The sequence below is a fragment of the Homo sapiens genome, chromosome 18, assembly GCF_000001405.40.
Source record: "Homo sapiens chromosome 18, GRCh38.p14 Primary Assembly".
Classification (NCBI taxonomy): Eukaryota; Metazoa; Chordata; class Mammalia; order Primates; family Hominidae; genus Homo; species Homo sapiens.
In genome coordinates, this window is record NC_000018.10 from 78,908,132 (window position 1) to 78,928,998 (window position 20,867).

Genomic DNA, 20,867 nt, shown 5'->3' on the forward strand with positions numbered 1-20,867 from the left:
TGTATTCCCAGCTACTCAGGAGGCTGAGGCAGAAGAATCTCTTGAACCCAGAGGTGGAGGTTGCAGTGAGCTGAGATATACCACTGCACTCCAGCCTGGGTGACAGAGCGAGGCTGTCTCAAATAGAAAAGTGTGAAGAATGAGGGAATTTGACAGGCATGGTGGTGCACACCTGTGGTCCCAGCTACTCAGCAGGCTGAGGCGGGAGGCTCACTTGAGCCTGCCTGGTTGAGGCTACAGTGAGCCATGTTCATGCCACTGCACTCCAGCCTGGGTGACAGAGTGAGACCCTGTCTCAAAAAAAAAAAAGAATGAAGATAAAAAATATGGATGGGGAAAAAGGAGGCATCACTAAGAATCCAAACAGCAAACAGAAAGAAAAAGGGGTTGCATAAGATCCCGGAATATCCCGGGATGAAAACAGAAGCTTTCAAGTTAAAAGGAGTGTGAGTGCGACCTGGAGAGGGAAGGAGCCGCATGTATAAGCGTATTTTCACTGAAGGGAAGAACACGGGGCCCGCGAAAGCTGGACGGCCGGAGACCCGCGTTTCCACGTTTCCACGTTTTCGTTCCTGTGCTGTCCCCAGCAGACCAGGCACCATTTCACATCACGATCCCGCTGAGATCAAGGAGACCAGATGTCAGAAAATGCTTTAGAAGTATAGGTGAGAGATAAATGCAAAATAAAGTGTTTACTAAATCAGAGTCATTTTGGAAAAAAATGTTTACGGCTGGTATACTCAACCTGCACTTTAACATCTGTCTAAAGTATCTGTATCGAACACGGGGAGAAAATCCTACTTTACCATTACCTTTGAAATTAAAGTTTCCAGAGCCTTATGATGAAATTTATGTCAAATTAATTTCTGGGACTCAATGAAGCTTAAAATGAATTCATAATGAGGTACACTTAAGAGGTGTGCAGAGGGCCTTGGAGGGACTGATCAAAGAGGTCCCCTTCCTGCCATTAACTCTAATTTCGTGATGATGACACATTTTATCCGAGCACAACACATACTCTCAGAGATGATATGCTTTCACAATTACTGTATATGCAGGATGTGTGACCAAATGGAAGTTGACTATTGCTACATTATTATTAGCATTATTATTATTAGTTAATTGAGTATCAGCAATGTGCACAATCTTCTATGAGATATAATGAAAAGATGGCTCCTGTGTTGGAGATTTATGTCTTAATTTAGACATACTTATAATTCCAACATAACACATACAGCCTGAGAAAATGATTTTCTTAAAAGTGCAAGATTTCCTAAAACTGTATGGTTCCTAATGACAGCTCCCTGCTTCCGACTGAATGTCAGCAAAGAGCAGTATTTAAGAGGCTGCACCTTCAGACAAAAGATTTTCTATTCTTCATATTTAAATATTAAAACTCTTAAAAACATATCTTAAATGAATTTAGGAAATTCTTCAGCAAAAAGAAATGTAGAGTGCTGTAAAGATCCTAAAAAAGTGTGCCATTTCTTATTCACTTTTCATGCAGTGGACACCTTGATTTCATGATTACATTTGGGCTGAAAAGCTAAAAATAGAATATATTGTTTGATTCTTCCAAATCACAGATTCTTAACGAGAGAAATAAGATTTATATTCTTAGGTAGTCTGCCTTCCTGAACAACACACATCCAACAAGAAACAGGCGGATAATATTAACGGCACTTGTGATCTAAGCAAAGTCTCATCATTTTTTTTCACCTCCATTTTGAGAAAATGCCAAACAAAGCCAATTTTACACACCTGAGAACAGAGAAGGGAGGAATCATGGGACCTTCACACTCCGAACAACAAGCGGTCCCATCCTGAACGGGGCGAGGCAATGCCCTTGGGCTGTAAGGTGGGGTGCCGACGAGAAATAAGCTCTACAAAGCAAGGTTTTGTTGCCTAGCTACCTTAGATTGGACCAAAAGCACACACTGAACAAGAAACATACAACGTTCTCCCTGTGAGGAATGAGACACTTTCTCCTCCAGCATCAACGCACTGTCACTGGGCAATTGATATGTTATTAGTCGAGTGGACAATGTGATGTTATTTATATCAATGTTAGAAGTATGGATCCAACATTATTCAATAGTATAAATAATAAAGACAATTCAATAATTATCTGGTCATACTGGTAATTCACAAGACAGCTGTAAATCTTGAAAGAAGCTGTACGTCATTTTCGTTGACTGCCAGGAAGTGCATGGTCACGCCTGCCACAGGTCTTCAGAGCGCCTGTGGGCCTGCATGGGTCCCTCAGTGAGTAAGTCTTTTCCATCTCATCTTTCCCGCCTCTGCTTCCCATTGTACTGATATTTCCATTTATTCTTTCAATGTCTTGTGCTCTGACCTACAACCTCGAATGTGTCATTGGAACATGTCATAATATAAGCCTGTATACAATGAGCCAAGTAAAACTTTTTCTTGAGTCAGAGTCTTACTCCGTCACCCAGGCTAGAGTGCAGTGACACAATCTCGGCTCACTGCAGCCTTAACCTCCTGAGTCAAGCAATCCTCCCACCTCAACCTCCTGAGTAGCTGGGATTACAGGCCCATGCCACCAGGGCCAGGTAATTTTTGTATTTTTTGTAGAGATGGGATTTCTCCAAATGGCCCAGGTTCCTGAACTCCCGAGCTCAAGTGATCGCCCTCCTCAGCTTCCCAAAGTGCTGGGACTACAGGCGTGAGCCGCAGCGCCCGGCCCTAAATCAGTTTGGATGCTCACTGTGACATCTTTACCGCGGGCATGTGCCGCATTGCTACATTGTTTATTAACTGCAGGAGCCAGATCTTTGTTTCCATCCCTCAAAATACACAAAATCTCAATTAATAAGCTTTCAGTTAGATATCTATAAAACAGTGTCAACTCACTGCATTCGCTGCTCAATTAATGCACTGTCATCGCTTGTCAGAGCAGCTCGTCCATGGGTTGGACACCCTCATGTCCGAGAATTCCGGAACATGCACACACATCGCCAAGAGGCTGAGCCAAGTATCATTTTAAAGTCTTCCTAGATTTTGAAAAATGATGGTTCCTTTTACATGTTTGCAAATTAGAACATCATTATTTCTAGGAACCAAAGCATGACGCTGGGAAACAAGCCATAGCTCAATGAAATACACACCACAAAATCAGCAAATCTGGGCATAAAATATTTACAGGCCACCAGCTGAAATGGAGAGCACTGCCTGACCTCCACCCCAGGCCGAAGCCCCAGGCCCTCCAGCTCCTATCCGAGGGCCTCCAGTTCCTGCCCCAGGCCCTCCACCTCCAGCCCCAGGCCTCCAACTCCCACCCCAGGCCTCCAGATCCCACCCCAGGCCTCCAGCTCCAGCCCCAGGCCCTCCAGCTCCTATCCCAGGGCCTCCAGATCCCACCCCAGGCCTCCAGTTCCCACCCCAGGTCCTCCAGCTCCAGCCCCAGGCCCTCCAGCTCCTATCCCAGGGCCTCCAGATCCCGCCCTAGGCCTCCAGTTCCCACCCCAGGTCCTCCAGCTCCAGCCCCAGGCCTCCAGCTCCTGCCCCAGGCCTCTAGCTCCAGCCCCAGGCCCTCCAGCTCCCATCCCAGGGCCTCCAGATCACACCCCAGGCCTCTAGCTCCTGCCCCAGGCCCTCCAGCTCCAGCCCCAGGCCTCCAGCTCCTATCCCAGGCCTTCAACTCCTACCCCCGGCCTCCAGCTCCCACCCCAGGCCCTTCAACTCCCATCCCAAGGCCTCCAGATCCCACTCCAAGCCTCCAGCTCCTGCCCCAGGCCCTCCAGCTCTGGCCCCAGACCTCCAACTCTCATGCCAGGCCCTCCTTCTGTCACCTCAGGCCACAGCCCCAGGCCATCCAGCTCCTGCCCTAGGCCTCCTTCTCCCACCTCAGGGTCTCCAGCTCCCACCCAAGCCTCCTGCTCCCACCTCAGGGCCTCCTGCTGTCAGCCCAGAATCTCCAGCTCCCCCCAGGGCCTTTAGCTCCCACCCCAGGCCTCCAGCCCCTGCCCCAGGCCCTCTTGGTGCCCAGCTGGTCCTTGGAACTGGTGTGAAGAGCAGCCTCATTTGTAACCACTATTTGACTAGGGAAACAAAGACTGATATTTGCTCAAAAACACCTTTACAACAAAAGTCAGTAAAAATATGTTTTCAAAACAATCCTGCAATCATAATAGACAGCCACACTGCCGAAAAAATGTCTTCCAACACATCCACGTCTTCAGGGTTTGGGGTTTTTCAACCAGTGATGGACACAGCTATAGCTGCCCTCTGTCCAAAGTCATTTCCACCTGCGGCACGTGAAGGGTGAGAGTGCAGGGAGAGGCTCTCCTGTTCCAAGGCCCTGCACCCACTCCCACGGCTGCCTCTGCCCTCCCAAGAACCAGGCCCACCGCCCTCCCAGCAGAGCAGTGACCAGAGCGGCTCAGAGCAGGACACAGCTTGGAGGGAAGCCTGGCCACGCACAGAGCCCGTGGGACTCCATGAGGGTTCCTGTGGTTTCTGAAATTCTTTCACTGAAGATTCCAAAATCACTGCTCAGGGAACCATGCATGAAAATTCAAAAATCTCCACAGACTTGGCTCCTGAGCCACCAGATTTACCAGTAACATCTCAGCACAAAACAGACAGGGAGTTGATAATGTGGAAGAAGGAAAAGAATATGGGATTTATCCTGGCCAAGGGCACAGTGCATGTGGGGACCAGGCCAGGCCTCGAGGCAGCCCCACTGCTCCACACCCTTCTCATCCGACTCTCCAAATCCCCTGCCAAGCACTTGCCTCCAGTCTGGGGCCCAAGAAACGCATGTCTGTGCACACGTAGCTGGGCCAGGAGCTTCCCTTCTGCACCATCCGCGATGCCTGCCTCACCTGCCTGGCAGCCACAGCTGTTCTCAGGCCTTCCAGGGCCTGCATGTGTGCAAACTCCACCTTTCCCCAGACGAGGAGTCTGGAACTGAGTCTAAACAGAGTTCCGTCATGGGCCGGTGCACGGCTGCAGAGCGTGCACGCAGTCCTCCCCACCGGGACCGGGGGTCAAGGAGGCTCTGACCCGGCCCAGGGCACCCAGGAAACATGCCACTGGGCTGCTCCCGCTTCTGCTGGCACCGTGGGCTGTGAGCCGGGCCGTGTGCCCAGCGTGCATTCTGGGGTCAGGTGTCTCTGCTCCAGGGCTCCGCTCAGCCCGAGGCTCTTCCTCAGTGCTCCTCCCCACAGTCTCTCCTCCGCCCTTGACCTTCACTGTGGCAGGGCAGCCCCCACTCCCACCCCTGCTCACAGGGACCCCCATCAGGAAAGCTTTCAGTGCCTAATTTCATTTTGGCATCTTCTTCCCAGATGACCCAAAAACCACAGATGGGGAAAAAATTCATCTTCGTTTTCACCAACCTCAAACTGAGATTTCGAATGTCTTCGACTACGAAAGCGGGCAGTGCACCGCAGTGGTGTTGCAGGACCTGCGCCCTCAGCAGGGGGAAGTCACAGGTCTCTCCCTCCCACCTGAGATGTTTGTGCCACGGCTTCCAGTTCAGTGGCCGCAAGACTCACGGCTGGGTGTTGTCATATAATGCATCCATTAACAGCACGTGTGAAATACTAATTGTATTTCAATCTGATTCCTTGGTAGTTCTGTGTATTTTATTTTGTGCATTTCTAAATTCTTCTGGGAGGGGTGGATAGGCCTCGCCAGACTCCCAAAGACTTCCCCACCCGTGAAGGTCAGGAACCTGACATCCCGCCAGCCACGTTCACATCCCAGCTCCACAAAGAGCCGGCCCGAGGGTAAAACTGTTTAAAACAGCCTCCACCGGAGAATAATGGCAACAAGTCAGAAAGGTTTATTCTCTTTATTCTTCTGGAGCTAGGCCCCAAGGACCACGGCAAACGCCAGCCCTGTGCTGCCTGCCCCAGGCTCATTCTTCTCCAGCTGGGAGGGGTGCAGGCCCCCCTCCTGCTGGTCCCTGGACATCCCCACCAGGTGTGGCTTGCAGGAGCCAGCCGCCGCGGAGCCCAGGCCTCCACTCCGTGTAAGCCGGCCAGCTAGTCAAAGGACATCATTTTTCAATTCACAGAAAGCTGCCATTTTCCTGCTTCAGGTTTCCGCGAACTCCACGGCAGGAGGAAAGCCGAGCTCCCTTAAGAGCATCCGCCTTGGAAGCACCATCGCTGCCCATTTTCCACCTGGCTTCCCTGTCCCGGGGCTGCACGCTGCTCCTGCATCCTCCCTCGCATTTGACCAGCGATGCTCACAGGCGTCCAGTCCTCCTGCCAGGGCCACCCCGCGCTGGCACGGGCCCCTGGTGGAAGGCACAGACTCCAAAAGCCATTCCAAGCCAAACCCCAGCGTGGTCCAGGCTCCTGCAGATGCGGCACGCACACAGCTGCGCGTGCCTCCTCCCCGCGCGAGTCGCCCAGCCGCCTGTTGTGCCTTTGCCTGAGGTCGGTGCAGTCTGCGCCCTCCCCGCGGCTTCCTGTCTGTGCCAAGCTCCCCGCTGCGCCTCCGCGGGTCTCTCTGCGGGTCAGTGCAGCAGCTCCAGGTAACCACCTGCATCCGTTTTGTGTTCGGTTTGCTCCTGATAGCCACGTCTTGGAATTGTTTCCTGAGTGTTTATCACCACACGGCGCGAGCAGGCAACTGCAAACCCAGGCGACCTCGCAGCTTCGCATCAGCGTTTCCCCTCATTCATCGAAGATTTCTAAACTGATATGTGCAGAATATTAGTGATCTCTGCAGACTAGCTGCCGAAACCCAACACATTCTGCTTAAGAGTGCAAGCACAGAACCACAACGTGTAAAATCGGTTTGTTCCAAGGCTCTGTGTTGAAACGAGTCGTTATTCATTACACACCCATTCTGACTGTATGAAAACAAGAGGCAGGACTTGGCAGGGAGAGGCTGGCTTCAGATGAGCTATGTGAGAGCAGCGTCCTCACAGCACAGCGTAGACCTTGGAGTTCCGACGCATGTCAGAGCTAAAGGTGCACCTTGAAGACAAAACTGCTGTGGCCTTGAGGGAAGACATGAAGAGGAAGATGCAGTGACCTTCAGGCCCTCTCCAGGTCACAGAATAATCTCCCTTGGCTTTGCCACAGGCTCAGAGCCGTGCACCCTGGGACTGCAGAATCTCTGAGCTTGAATGTACAGCTCAGGTGTGGCACCCAGACCGTCCAGCCATGCGGTCTTCAAGGCCACCCCACCTGTCTCAGCCTCCGGGTGGCTGCAGGGATCAGCTGTTGTGAGGCAGTGCGGTTGGGCTCCATGGTGCCAGCCTCCTGGGCGGCTGCTCTTGGCCCGTGTGCCTTGTGGCCAGCAGGGCTCAGTGAGACATCCTCAGCGAGCCTGCAACCATCCGCTCTGGAGGAATTCCAGGGCAAATGCAAATCCTCCATATCCCTGAGTCTCTGTTTCCTCGTTTGCCAAGTGGGATGATATTCCTGGCCTTACAGGGATGCCAGATTCTTCAGGGAGACGGTGCATGGAAGCATTAGACGGGCACCAAGCCCTCGGCACGCGGAGCCATGGGGCCGCAGGGGCTGGCCGAGCCCTTTTCTTTCCCAGTGTGTGTACGGTGCTCTTCTCTACCTCCTCTGTATCACAGAAATGCAAATCCTGGCTCCTCACTCTCACCCACACGACAAGGGGGGGCACGCACACAAGGCTCAGCATTCACCCTGCCCTGGTCCAGCCATGGCTGCAGCACAACCCGGTATGCTGAACCAGCGTGGCCCCTCACACCCTAACTCCACTTGGCAGGTAGCACCACTGCGGCCCCACAACTTTCCTGAGCCTCAGAGGCAGCCAGGGTGAGGGCCACCTGAACCACAGGGTGGGCCTCCAAGGCAACTTCACTAATCATGACCACCTGGTCTATGGAGCATCTATGAGCCAAACACGCTATTAAAATTATACATCTTATCAAACTCAGCAGAACAGGAATTACTATCTTCATTTTATAGATAAGAGAACAAAGGCTTGAAGAGCCGCAGTGGCTGGCCCCAAATCATAAAAGTGCTAGGTCAGTGGGAAAGTCAACATTTGAACCCAGGTCCACTTGAACTCAAAACTCTTGGCCTTTTCCTTCTGCCATTTGCTGTGCAAGCTCAGTCTGTAGGAAATGAATCTGAGTAGGCTGATTGAGGGCAGGCTGGCCAGTCGGCAGAGCACAGGGGTGAAAGCGTGGGGTCGTTCTAGACAGATGGTGGATAAATGATAGATGATAGATCAATAGATACATGACAGATAGATGACTGATGGATGGAATGGACAGATGACTGATGGATGGAATGGACAGATGACTGATGGATGGAATGGACAGATGACTGATGGATGGAATGGACAGATGACTGATGGATGGAATGGACAGATGACTGATGGATGGAATGGATAGATGACTGATGGATGGAATGGATAGATGACTGATGGATGGAATGGATAGATGACTGATGGATGGAATGGACAGATGACTGATGGATGGAATGGACAGATGACTGATGGATGGAATGGACAGATGACTGATGGATGGAATGGACAGATGACAGATGGATGGAATGGATAGATGACAGATGGATGGAATGGATAGATGACTGATGGATGGAATGGACAGATGACTGATGGATGGAATGGATAGATGACTGATGGATGGAATGGACAGATGACTGATGGATGGAATGGACAGATGACTGATGGATGGAATGGACAGATGACTGATGGATGGAATGGATAGATGACAGATGGATGGAATGGATAGATGACTGATGGATGGAATGGATAGATGACTGATGGATGGAATGGATAGATGACTGATGGATGGAATGGATAGATGACTGATGGATGGAATGGATAGATGACAGATGGATGGAATGGATAGATGACTGATGGATGGAATGGACAGATGACTGATGGATGGAATGGATAGATGACTGATGGATGGAATGGATAGATGACTGATGGATGGAATGGACAGATGACTGATGGATGGAATGGACAGATGACTGATGGATGGAATGGACAGATGACAGATGGATGGAATGGATAGATGACTGATGGATGGAATGGACAGATGACTGATGGATGGAATGGATAGATGACTGATGGATGGAATGGATAGATGACTGATGGATGGAATGGATAGATGACTGATGGATGGAATGGATAGATGACTGATGGATGGAATGGATAGATGACAAATGGATGGAATGGACAGATGACTGATGGATGGAATGGACAGATGACTGATGGATGGAATGGACAGATGACAAATGGATGGAATGGATAGATGACTGATGGATGGAATGGATAGATGACTGATGGATGGAATGGATAGATGACTGATGGATGGAATGGATAGATGACAAATGGATGGATAGATGATAGATGGATAAATGATAGATACATAGATAGATAGATAGATAGATAATAGGTAGATAGATGGTAGATAGTTTATAGATAATGGAGTGATAGGTAGATGATAGCTAGACAGGTAGATGATAGATAGATAGATTGATAGATGATACATGGATAAATGATGATAGATAGATAGATGATAGATAAATAGATGGATGGGCTGGGCGCGGTGGCTCACGCCTGTAATCCCAGCACTTTGGGAGGCCGAGGCGGGCGGATCATGAGGTCAGGAGATCGAGACCATCCCGGCTAACACGGTGAAACCCTGTCTCTACTAAAAATACAAAAAATTAGCCAGGCGTAGTGGCGGGCGCCTGTAGTCCCAGCTACTTGGGAGGCTGAGGCAGGAGAATGGCGTGAACCCGGGAGGTGGAGCTTGCAGTGAGCCGAGATCCCGCCACTGCACTCCAGACTGGGCGACAGAGCGAGACTCCGTCTCAAAAAAAAAAAAAAAAAAATAGATGGATGATAGGTAGATAGATGGTAGATAAATAGTTTAGATAATGGATTGATAGGTAGATGATAGCTAGACAGGTAGATAGATGATAGATTGATAGATCAATAGATGATAGATGGATAAATGATGATAGATAGATAGATGGATGATAGGTAGATAGATGGTAGATAAATAGTTTATAGATAATGGATTGATAGGTAGATGATAGCTAGACAGGTAGATAGATCATAGATAGATTGATAGATCGATAGATGATAGATGGATACTTGATAGTTAATAAATAGTCAATAGATGATAAATCGAAGGATAGATGATAGATAGACACCATTTTCACTTTTATTAATCTTAGTTTGTTTTCATCTTAAACATTCACGTGTACATCACTCCCCAGCCTCCTGGTACATGGCCCAAGCCTTCTCTGTAAAGTGGGTGATCGTAATGCCACAATTTGCACGAACCACAGTCAAAATGCGTTTCTTATGATTCTCATTTTTGGTTTCTCTTAAAGTGGACAAAGATTTTAAAAACACTTTCAAAGCAATAAAAAAGCAGAGTCCATTTATACTTGCATCATTTTTCAAACCTTTCCCTGCTGCCTTGCCAAACCTGATGGAACAGTAATTATTTTTAGCAACTTTTTTTTTAGTGTTTTCTAAACTTTCATCTAAGTTTTCATAGAAGTAAAAATTTCCCTTATTCCCTTACTCATATTTCATCAGTGTGGATGCTATTTAATTAAATTATGGAGTTACAGAACCATGCAAGATTGGAAGCAACCCCCGAGTCCTGTGAGTGCAGAAGGGCAAGACAGGGCAGGGGGCTGGCAGCTGCCAGTGGCAGGGAGCCACGGCAGGCTGAGGGTGAGTGTGGACCCCAATCAGCTGCCAAAGGAGGGTCTTGGATGGGTGGGCTCCGTGTAGCCTATGGCTTCCCAGCCGTCCCCCAGCACCTCCACGTTGACACATACCTCTTTACATTCCTTGGCTCACAGCCCCCAACCTACTGTGAGTTAAAACCAGCAGGGTGACTGGTGGTCAGAGGTCTGGGGGCACACATGATGGAAGTGTACAGGGCGTCAGGCTCCGGAGAAGAGGCCAGTCCCCTGCAGCCGGCACACACCCAGGGGAAGCTGCACAGTCATCTCGAAAACACCCCCTCATCTTCATCATCTCCACTTCAGGGAATAAGAAACCCTCATCAGCAATGTACAATACAGCATTTCTTCTTATCTTTTTTTTTTTTTTTTTTTTTTTTTGAGACAGCATCTTACTGTATCTCCCAGGCTGGAGTGTAGCAGCACCATCTCGGCTCACTGCAGCCTGGACCTCACAGGGCTCAGGTGATCCTCCCACGTCAACCTCCAGAGTAGCTGGGACCACCGGCATGCACCACCACACCTGGCTAATTTGGGGGCTTGGTGTTTTTTGTTTTTTGTTTTTTGTTTTTGTTTTTGGTAGAGAAGGTTTTCCGCCATGATGCCGGGCTGATCTCAAACTCCTGGGCTCGAGCAATCCCTCTTAACATTCCTTTAAAGATTCTTTTTAATTTTAAGATTCGCCCTTGAGGAAGCAGGATTCAATTCAATGGAAAATGTAACCTCAGTGGAGTATCTATCATGATCCCCAACAGTTTGGGCTCTATGAACTAGTGTCACAATGTTTCTTAGTTTGTCCTAGACACAGGCAGAAGGTATATCGATACTATGTGAAGTACAGGAAAATTAAGTGATTTTTCCAAGATTGAGTCAAGGAGCGTCAAGGTCTGTTCACTTCAAATCAAGCTCCTCATTCACTGTGACTCCATGTGAATGAAAATAAAGACGGGAATAAGATCCAAATCCAATCTCAAAATATGGCCTCTTGTACATCTTCTGGGATGAGGCAGTCATCCCCTTCTAGACCTCTTAATCAATGACACTGTCATTACAAACTTTAAAACTACTTCCAAATCCCAAAGAAACCATTGTTTGTTGACCTGATTAGGATTAACTTCATGCAACCAGCAATTGTACAAAGTAGCGGCATCATCTGAACCCCGCCAAGGAAGAGGCATTTTCTCTCTAACACAATAGCTTGATGCTTGCATTGTAGGTGATGAGAGCAAAACTAAGCTAGAACTGAGCCACGCATCCCTCTTTTATCTTCCCATGCATGACAGAGCGATGACTCTTCCACTGTGCTCCAACCAGTCACCTAAACAAAACTCTTTAAACCTCAAAAGTGCTCACCAGGAGGAAGTAAAATCCCTTCACCCCAGGATGGTAGAGGAGTTGAAGGGAACTAGGAAGGTGTGTTACATTCCTGCACCCATCCCCCTCCAACCCCCCCAGGTAGCCTCCCTCCCAGTGAGACGATTCCAGGTGCATTCACCTGGCCAGCTGTCTATCAAGTCTTTTCCAAACTAAGGTTCGTTTTGTTCTATTAGACTATAACCTCAATCCAGAGAAGAGAGAGCTTCCACCTGTGTTTTCTAAAACCATGTACATGTGCCATATGGTCTAAACTATGTCTGCTCGATAAAAAAACTGTTGCTGATTTGAGGGGTGACTGACGCCCATAACAAAAATGCATTTCCAAAAGCATGCATCATCGAGTTATCGTCTGGCCTTACACAAATAGGAGGTCCCCAGGAAACCAGACCAAATGTAGACAAAGGAATTCTTCAGTCAATTTAGTTTAATTATGAGAGTTGAAACCTACTATGGATTCTGCCCGGTTAATAAATGATCCTGGTTAATGAATGATGCTGGTTAAATTGTAGCTCTTTCACCGACCACTTTCTTTATTGCAAACTTCTCAAAAAATTGGCTAAGTGAACTTAATAGAGAACACGTGTATGAACTCAATTCATAAAAAGGGTCACTCACACACACGGGCAAACACACACGTGTGCACACACACTCATGCACACACCCACACATGTGCACACTCACACGTGCACACACACAGACATGCACATTCACACATACACACACAAGCACGAGCATGCACACATAGACCCACGCACTCATACACATGTGCACACACACACAAACATGCACACATTCACACATACACAAGCACAAGCATGCACAGACACACGCACTCATACACACGTGCACAAAGCACGAGCATGCACACATAGACACACGCACACATATACACGTGCACACACATACAAATGGGGAAGCAGAGGGTCATCAGTTAGGGTGGGTGGGTTCAAAAAGTTTTTTTCTGCAGAAAAATGTAAATTTAACCACTCACTCATTCATGGATTTTAACGGTTCTCAGCACATCAGACACTCCGCAGAGATTCTAATGACTCCCAGCTCTGCATCCTCAGCCTTGACCTCGCCCCACTCATCTCTTGCCTGAGGAACAGCCCTCGATGCCTTCAGGCTCCACATCCCAAGAATTCCACGTCGTGTCCACTCCCCATCATGCCACAGCCCCCCAGCAGCCACAGAGGTCTCTCTGTCCCCGAGGCCGTCCCGTCCATCGCCCCTCCCTGTCTGATGGAGGATTCCCTGCTCCCTGCGTCCTCAGCACAGAAACATGTATGAGCTCTGCCATCATAAAACAACTGGAAACCATAAAGTGGGGGAGGCTGAGCCAGAATCTTTCTGCCCCCTCGTGTCCCTTAACCACAAGCCTCCAACCCTAGAGCCCTCCCAGTCCTATTCCTCTACCCACAGTTCTCAGGACTCTGTCTCCAGGGAAGTCTCACCATCCTCATCTTCCCAACCTCCCAGAGTAGACGCTGAGGGTCTCACCATCTCTCCACTCACCCTCAAGCCAGAAATCCCTTGAATTTAAGCCTCAGCCCAGTTGAATCCTTGCTGTCTCCCTCAGTGACATCATTCATTCCAGCAGCCTCAGTACCACCCGATGGCTGACTGCATTCACATCCATCTTTGCAGCAGCCTCCAACACCGCACCTTCATGCCCCCCAGGCACAGGAATCGTAAGGCATCCCTAACAGACATCATAGTTGCCTGTAAATCTCTTGGAAGGAGTTGCCCAAGCTAAATATTTGAAGACATTTTGATAATTCCCTGTCCCTGATGCCCTTCCCCAAATCATCTGACGATAGTGCCCTGCCAGTTCTGACTCCGCTCTCATTTTACCTCTCCCTCCATCACCCGCAGCTCCTGCCACCTCCCATCATGTTATCGGGAATCCTCTGACTCAATGCCATGCACCATGTCAATCTAACCTGTCCATAGACACAAAAAGTCAGGCACAAGTCTGATCAGACCACTCCTTCATACTCTCCACTGCCCTTGGGTTGAGCTCCAAGCCCTTCCACGTGGTGCAGGTCTGGCATTGTGACCTCCCAGGCTCATCTGGGACACCCCCTGCCTTGAACTTAGCATCTCATCCAAAGCAAACACGGCGGCCACCTGTGGGCTGTGGGCACCCCCTTTCACTCCCAGCCTCCCCACTCAGCCCGTGCCTTTTGTGGTCTTCAGGGCTCATCCAGGAGAGTACCTCTTCCAGGAAACACCATCCAGTCTCCCTTTCCATCCTGGTGGAGCTGAGAACTCCACCCACACCCACACCTGTCACTGTCTTGCCAGTGACACAAAACTGCTGTTACAGACATTTGCACCTACCTGTCTCTAGACTTTGAACTCTTTAGGGATAAAAACCATGTTTTCTTTGTCATTCTTGCCCACGGCTGCATGCCTGATGCATAGTAGTTGTTGATGAATGTTTCCGGAATAAACAGATGAGGAAAGAATGAATGAATGAATGGGCTCGTAGAGTTCCAGGATGTGGAAAGGTGGCTACCTGCAGCCACTTTTTTTGACTGGCGAAACATCTTCACAAGACTCCATATTCTGTGGGTTTCTCATGCAGGGTCAGGTCACTTTAGCAAAGGGGTTTCTGCATGGCAGGGTCACCCGTCAGCAGAGGGAAGGTGCTTGACAGATGGCAAGTAGTGAAGGACCCCACAGACGAAGCTCCCGAACAAAGCAAGTTCGGGAGTGAGACAAACCGGGGCCCTTCAGTGCAAGGGCAGCAGGGGAAAGCCCGCAACTCTCAAAGGGTTTGTGCCACGGATGGCCTTGGGGTGATCAGTGCCCAGGTCCTCAGCTTCCACTCTGCTCCTGCCTCACGCCAGTTGGCTTGAGAACGTGCCTGTGACGGTGAACCCCCCGCCTACCCTCCCCTCCGAGTCTCGCACACACTGGCGCTGGGTGACAGCCGACTTCAGGAAGCAGCGGGAGAATGGCAACAGTGCCATCAGATCCACAAACCTGTGAGCCACGGGGGCTCATGACAGCGAGCTTTTACAAGACAAATGCATCCAACAAGGTGGAGGGAGCACCTACCTGAGTCCTGGGCTGATCCATCATCAGAAATCCTTTTGGTGATAGACCATCGTGTGATCATTGGCGTGTAACTCATGGCGTGTAACTCAGAAGGAGATCAAAGCATTGAGTGCTGTTTGTACAATGAAGTTCCTTCCATTTCTATTCACTTATATTTCTCAGTATTTGCATCTATAAACACAGAAAACAGGAGTAGGTTTGCAGATAAAACACTATCCCATTCTAGCAATGAGGAATATTTATCCACAAATATATAACTAAGTAGGAGGGAAAAGCTGTATCCATCCCATTAATAAACATTCTTCTGATCATGTTTAATAATTATTAAGATTATTAATAATTATTGATCAAATTTTTTAATCTCTTTATTTTTGATTAACTATGCACTAATGATAATTATATTAATACCAGAAAAAAATTAGAGCCTTAAGGACATAAAACTTTTACGATTATTTTAATTTTAGCTACATGCATATTTTTCTGGCAGAGAAGTGTAAGATAATGGACAACAAACTTCAAACATAATATCTACATAGCACTGGGGTACGTTTCTATTGGGGAGAGAAACAGAAATACATGTTTAAAAGGAAAAAACAATATTAACCTTCCAGCTGTCGAGAGGCGCCTGAGTATGTATTTTTCAGTGGACAATAGCTAGCATGTATCAAATTACTATAGTATTTAGATTCCATATGATAGATTTTAAAGGTATTGTAGAAGTTTAACTTTAAAAGATCAATATGTATCTCAATATAATGGGAATTATATCTTTGCAAGTATTTAAACACAGTGGAAAAAACTTAGATGTCGCAGGGCATGTCAGGGCTTCTGGGCTGGGGCAGAGTGGAGGCCAAAGGCAGCAAGAAAGGGGTCAGAGAGGCCTTGGGCACGAGCCTTGGATGCCACGGTGAAGGTTAAGCACCTGCCCCTGCAGGATGGCGGCCTAATGTGGGCAGGGGCAAGGGTGAGAGGGAAGCATGAGTAGTCAACGACCCAGGGCAGGACGCAGATGAAACCATCACTTACTGTCCTCCCTGTGGCCGCCCTTCAGAATCCTCACACGGATGAACTCTTGCAACCTTCACCGTGGTGCTATAAGATAGGAACGACTATCTGTGAACCACCTCTGACAGCTGGCCGGTCGAGGCACTAGCCCAGAGCCGCACAGCTGGTAAGAGTCGGTGCCGTGGCAGTCACAGCTGCCACGCTCAGGTGTGCAGCGCTCCGCCCCCTGCCCCTGGGCAGCCTTAGTCCAGTGCCACAGGTGTCTGTTGTCCAAACATCGTGCCTACCTGGGGACAGGACCTGTAAAACATATCTGGACAAAGCATGAGAGCCAAACCAAACATCTGCAAGCCAGCATTTTGGCCTCACCCTCCGTCAGAGCTCAGGGCCCAAAAGGGTCACTTAGGTGAAAAGGGTTGGGTGGGTGACGAGGTGGAGCGAGGGATCAGGGGTCCATCCGGACCCTAATTCAGCATCCGAGTGGATGGAAGTTCAACTCACCGAGCCGGGGTATTAGGATAAAGACTAAGCTTCTAGAACAAAGAGGCCCCCAAGCGGAGAAGCTCCCAGAGGCTAGCGGTTCACGCCATCCGCAAGCAACAGGCGAGACTGCAGGTGGGCCGGGCCCGCTCTCCACCTTGTGGTTTTGGTCCCAGGTCCTGTCCTCGTCTTCGTGGTTGAAGCTGTTGCAGATGCCTCCTTTCCACCCTGGGGAGGGGGTGAAAATCCGGGGCCCTGGACGCCGTTTGCTCCAAGGAGGGAGAATTTTCACGTGGCCTTTTCATGCCCCTCACTGGTGGAAACTGATCCCCACAGCTGCACCTGAGCCACAGCGCGGGGCTTTGCTCCTGGCTCGATGCTCATGTTCTGAGGAAGGACAGGAACCCACAGGGACACGGGCGTCGGCCCAGGAAATCCGGGAGGAGGAGCAGGTTTCCTGGAATTGGAAGCAGCCGGTGAGGAAGATGCTGGAGACGCCCTGAGACGGCGGCTGAGACACCGAGCTGAGGCCGAGGGCACCGGCTCGGACCGCCTGGGCCATCCCCACAGGGTTAGCAAAGACGCAAGAGGGCGTGAAGCCACGCGGTCGCACACCTGGTACCGCGCACAGTGAGAAAGGAGGGCAAGTGCGCTGAGACCCAGGAGGGAGGGCAGCCCTCCCCTGCGCTGCTGAGGCTCGTTTCTTTCAATGTGTCCCTGGCTCTGTGCTGTATCGTGCGTTTCAGTGTGCATGAAATATCTTGTGCAATCATTTACGTGAAATTAGAGCTAGTAGGAAAATGTATCGTCAGGCGTGGAAGAGCGCACTGCACCTTCTTTTTACTTGCGCGCACCTGAGGATTGTCTAAAATCCAGGCCTCACGGGACTCCCAGAGCCCGTGCTCGTCACAGCTGCTGGCTACAGAAACACAGCCTGCAAAGTCGGCCTCACCGCCAGCCAGACGAGCCCAGCCAGTTTCCACGAGCAGGGGAGGGCACACCCGGAGGCCACCGTGGAAAGCAGCCTGGCTGCCCTCGGGAAGCCACACGCGGAGCCGCCGCGGCCCAGCACTCCCACCCCTCGATGTGTGCCCAGGTCGAAGGAAGGCTTGCCACCCGAAGGCCTGCACGGGAAAGCTCACAGCAGCGTTCTCCAAACAGCCAAAACGCGGAAGCAACCCCGATGTGCGTGGGCTGGTGAATGCAGGCCCAGCGCGGAGTGCGCACAGCCCGGAACGGCATTCAGCCAAGAAAAGACCCACAGCCGGGAACAGCATATTCAGCCAAGAAAAGAAAGGGCGGCCTGGGGCGCTCTGCACCGCGGGTGAGCCGTGAGAACACGGCGCTCCGGGAGAGAAGCCAGCACGAGACGCTGCCTCGGGCGCGACTCCATTTACTTGAAGTCCAGAGCCCGTAAATCCGCGAGACAGACATGGAGGAGCGGCTTACCAGGTCTGGAAGCAGGGAGGGGAGTGAGGGACTGCTGAGGGGTGCGGGTTTCATGTGGGGCCATGAGAAGGTTCTAGAATTAGATGGTGGCGATGGTTGCTCCACGCTGCCATGGGGGCAGCTGAGGGAAAGGAGGTGGGATCGGGGCTCGGCCAGCTCTCGCCCTCTCTCGTGTTTTTCCACGGTCCTTCAGGAATGGGAGCACGGGCAGGGGAGGGCAGGACTCTGGCCCTCAAAGGTGGGAGCAGGGTGCAGACACCCAATTCCGAGGGTCTGCAGACATGAAAGGGCAGCGGGCAGCTTTCATCTGGGCCATCTCCAAAAGCAAAAATGAGATCTCATTAACACAATGAAAGCAACACCCTGAGAGCATCTAGCTTCACTAAAACCGGAAATTGCCAGGCACGGTGGCTCACACCTATAATCCCAGCCCTTTGGTAGCCTGAGGGGAGCGGATCACTTGAGGTCAGAAGTTCAAACCTGCCTGGCCAACATGATGAAACCCCTTCTCTACTAAAAATACAAAACTTTGTCAGGTGTGATGGCTCACGCCTATAGTCCCAGCTACTCAGGAGGCTGAGACAAGAAAATCATTTGAACCTGCGAGGCAGAGGTTACAGTGAGCCAAGAAATGTGCCACTGCACTCCAGCCCGGGCAAAAGAGCGAGACTCCATCACAAAAAAAAAAAAAAAAAAAAAGAGAGAGAGAAAGAAGAAAAAAGAGAAAGAAAGATTTCTAGCTGTCAAACACACAAAAGGTGTTTCTGCCACAAGAATTTGTTAAAAGCTTCACATTCTCCTCTTCATACCCCTGTAGGAGCAAAACTATCCAAAAACACAGAAGTGACATCATGATATGCCACCTTATTTCTTGCGCCTGTCTGCAGAGGCCTGGGGTGACTCAAATCCGCCGCTGCTGTGTGATCTGGGACACTTCAGGATGTGGGCACCGTGGGGAACCAGCTTGGTGCCCATCTTGGAGGTGTCATTCTGAGAACCTGGAAGCAGCTCTTGCCCAAGTCACACTCAAGAGCCACGGCTTTGTTAGGCATTGCCACATTTTCCAGTGAGTTCCATGCTCAGGTATGAAGCCGGGTGAGCAGGGGCTCTGAGGCCACTGGTTTCCAAGACAGGCGGAGATTGCACAGCAAATGCTCAGAGCCTGTCGGCCCCTGGGGGGGGACGTTGGCCCTGGAAACCAATGATACGCCACACTGGGCCAGGAACTTGTCCACATCACAGCTCTTGCTACTGTGTGTTTCCGCTGGAGCTCTCCGTGGCTTCCTGCTGTGTTGATCATGCCTCTTAATAAAGGCAGGGGGTTGGAAATGACGCCAGAGCTGGGCAAATTTAGTCCAGCAGAAGGTGCTCAGTTTTGCTACTGGTTAAGTCGTAGAAAGGAAGAGGGCAAAACTCAGATAAATCATCTCTGAAGATGCTCCTGAGAAAATCCATGCTTTGTTTAGATTGTTCCTGCTTTGTACAGCCCGGGATAAGCCTGTCATGATTACCAGAAAGCAGAGATGTGGGCCACGGAAGCATGGGTGAATGCCGATGATGAATACAGCTGGAGAGAGTGGGACGTGGTCTGTCCACCCCTCATTAGGTGAGCAAGCGCAGAAAACGCATTTTCATCCCCCAGGCTTCTGTATACTCTCGTGTGGAATAAAAACTCTATTGCTCCGGTCTGCATGTTGCTGACGCCCCAGAATCCCGATGTGACAGCCTCGTACCTGAAGTGACAGTGTTCAGGGTGGGGGCTTTGAGGAGTGATTAAATCATGAGGGCTGCACCAACGTGAATGGGATTTGTGCCCTTATAAAACAGGCTGGAGCATGTTCCTGTGCCCCCTTTGGCCACGTGAGGACACCTTGAAAGGCCACTCACGAGGAACAGTCCAGGCACTGAATCCACTGGCGCCTCCAGAACTGTGAGCAGTAACATTCCATTGTTTATAAATTACTCAGTCTCCAGTACTTGGTTCCTGCAGCTAGAACAGGCTAAGGCCTCTGTCCGTGTTCCAGGGAAGCCTCCACAGGGCAGTCACTGCTGAGGATACTCCGAGCAAAAGGTTCCGTGATCCAGCACGGTGATGCGCGCCCACTGTGCGACTTCCAGAGATCACCGTGGCATTCGTAAACCAGGAACCTCGTGGATCTTTAGCCGTATTAAACGTTTCCTAAACCTACATGTGTATTGGCCATCCATAAATCTTTGGAGGAACGTCTATGTAAATCCTTTGCCCATGTGTAAAGTTGGGTTATTTGGTTTTTATTACTGAGTTGTGAGAGTCCTTTTGTAATATTTTTCTTACTGAGTTGTGAGAGTCCTTTACATATTCTGAATTTAGGTGCCTATGATTTGCAAATACTCTTTCCATTCTTTGAGTTGTCTTTTCACTCTCTTGATGGTATTGTTTCAGCACAAAATCTCTCATTTTGATGAAGTCTAATTTATCTATTTTTTCCTTTTGTTGCTTGTGTTTTCCATGTGCTAAGAAACCATTGACTAACTCAAGGTCATAACTCGTATTTGCTCCTGTGTTTTCTTCTAAGAGTTTCAGAGTTTTGGTCTCACACGTAGGTCTGTGATCCATTGTAAGTTAATGTGTGTGTATGTGTGAGGTAGGAGTCTGAGATCATTCTCTTCATGTGGATATTCAGTTGTCCCAGCAGAATTTGTAGAAATGGTCAATTGAGTTTTCTTGGCATTCTTGTCAAAAATCAATTGACCATGTATACAAGGGTTTACCGGGGGCTCTAAATTTTATCCCATTGG

The 20,867-nt window shown here is 49.7% G+C and overlaps 1 long non-coding RNA gene across 1 annotated transcript, besides 2 other annotated features; it reads right to left on the reverse strand.

Moving 5' to 3' along the window:
- Nucleotides 1–480: 480 nt before the first annotated feature.
- LOC105372224 (uncharacterized) lies at nucleotides 481–19,242 on the reverse strand. Its single transcript, XR_935678.3, has 4 exons — nucleotides 18,953–19,242; nucleotides 16,662–17,097; nucleotides 15,156–15,326; nucleotides 481–619 (listed from the first exon to the last, which is right to left on the reverse strand). It is a non-coding gene; the product is annotated as an uncharacterized LOC105372224 (long non-coding RNA).
- Nucleotides 1,684–2,883: an enhancer, noted in NCBI's record as "BRD4-independent group 4 enhancer chr18:76669815-76671014 (GRCh37/hg19 assembly coordinates)". NCBI's record gives its function as "activates an origin of replication core promoter dependent on BRD2, P300/CBP, MED14 and CDK7 cofactors, and independent of BRD4, by STARR-seq in HCT116 cells {active_cell/tissue: HCT116}" and the evidence as "EXISTENCE:reporter gene assay evidence [ECO:0000049][PMID:35650434]".
- Nucleotides 18,258–19,457: an enhancer, noted in NCBI's record as "MED14-independent group 3 enhancer chr18:76686389-76687588 (GRCh37/hg19 assembly coordinates)". NCBI's record gives its function as "activates an origin of replication core promoter dependent on BRD2, BRD4, P300/CBP and CDK7 cofactors, and independent of MED14, by STARR-seq in HCT116 cells {active_cell/tissue: HCT116}" and the evidence as "EXISTENCE:reporter gene assay evidence [ECO:0000049][PMID:35650434]".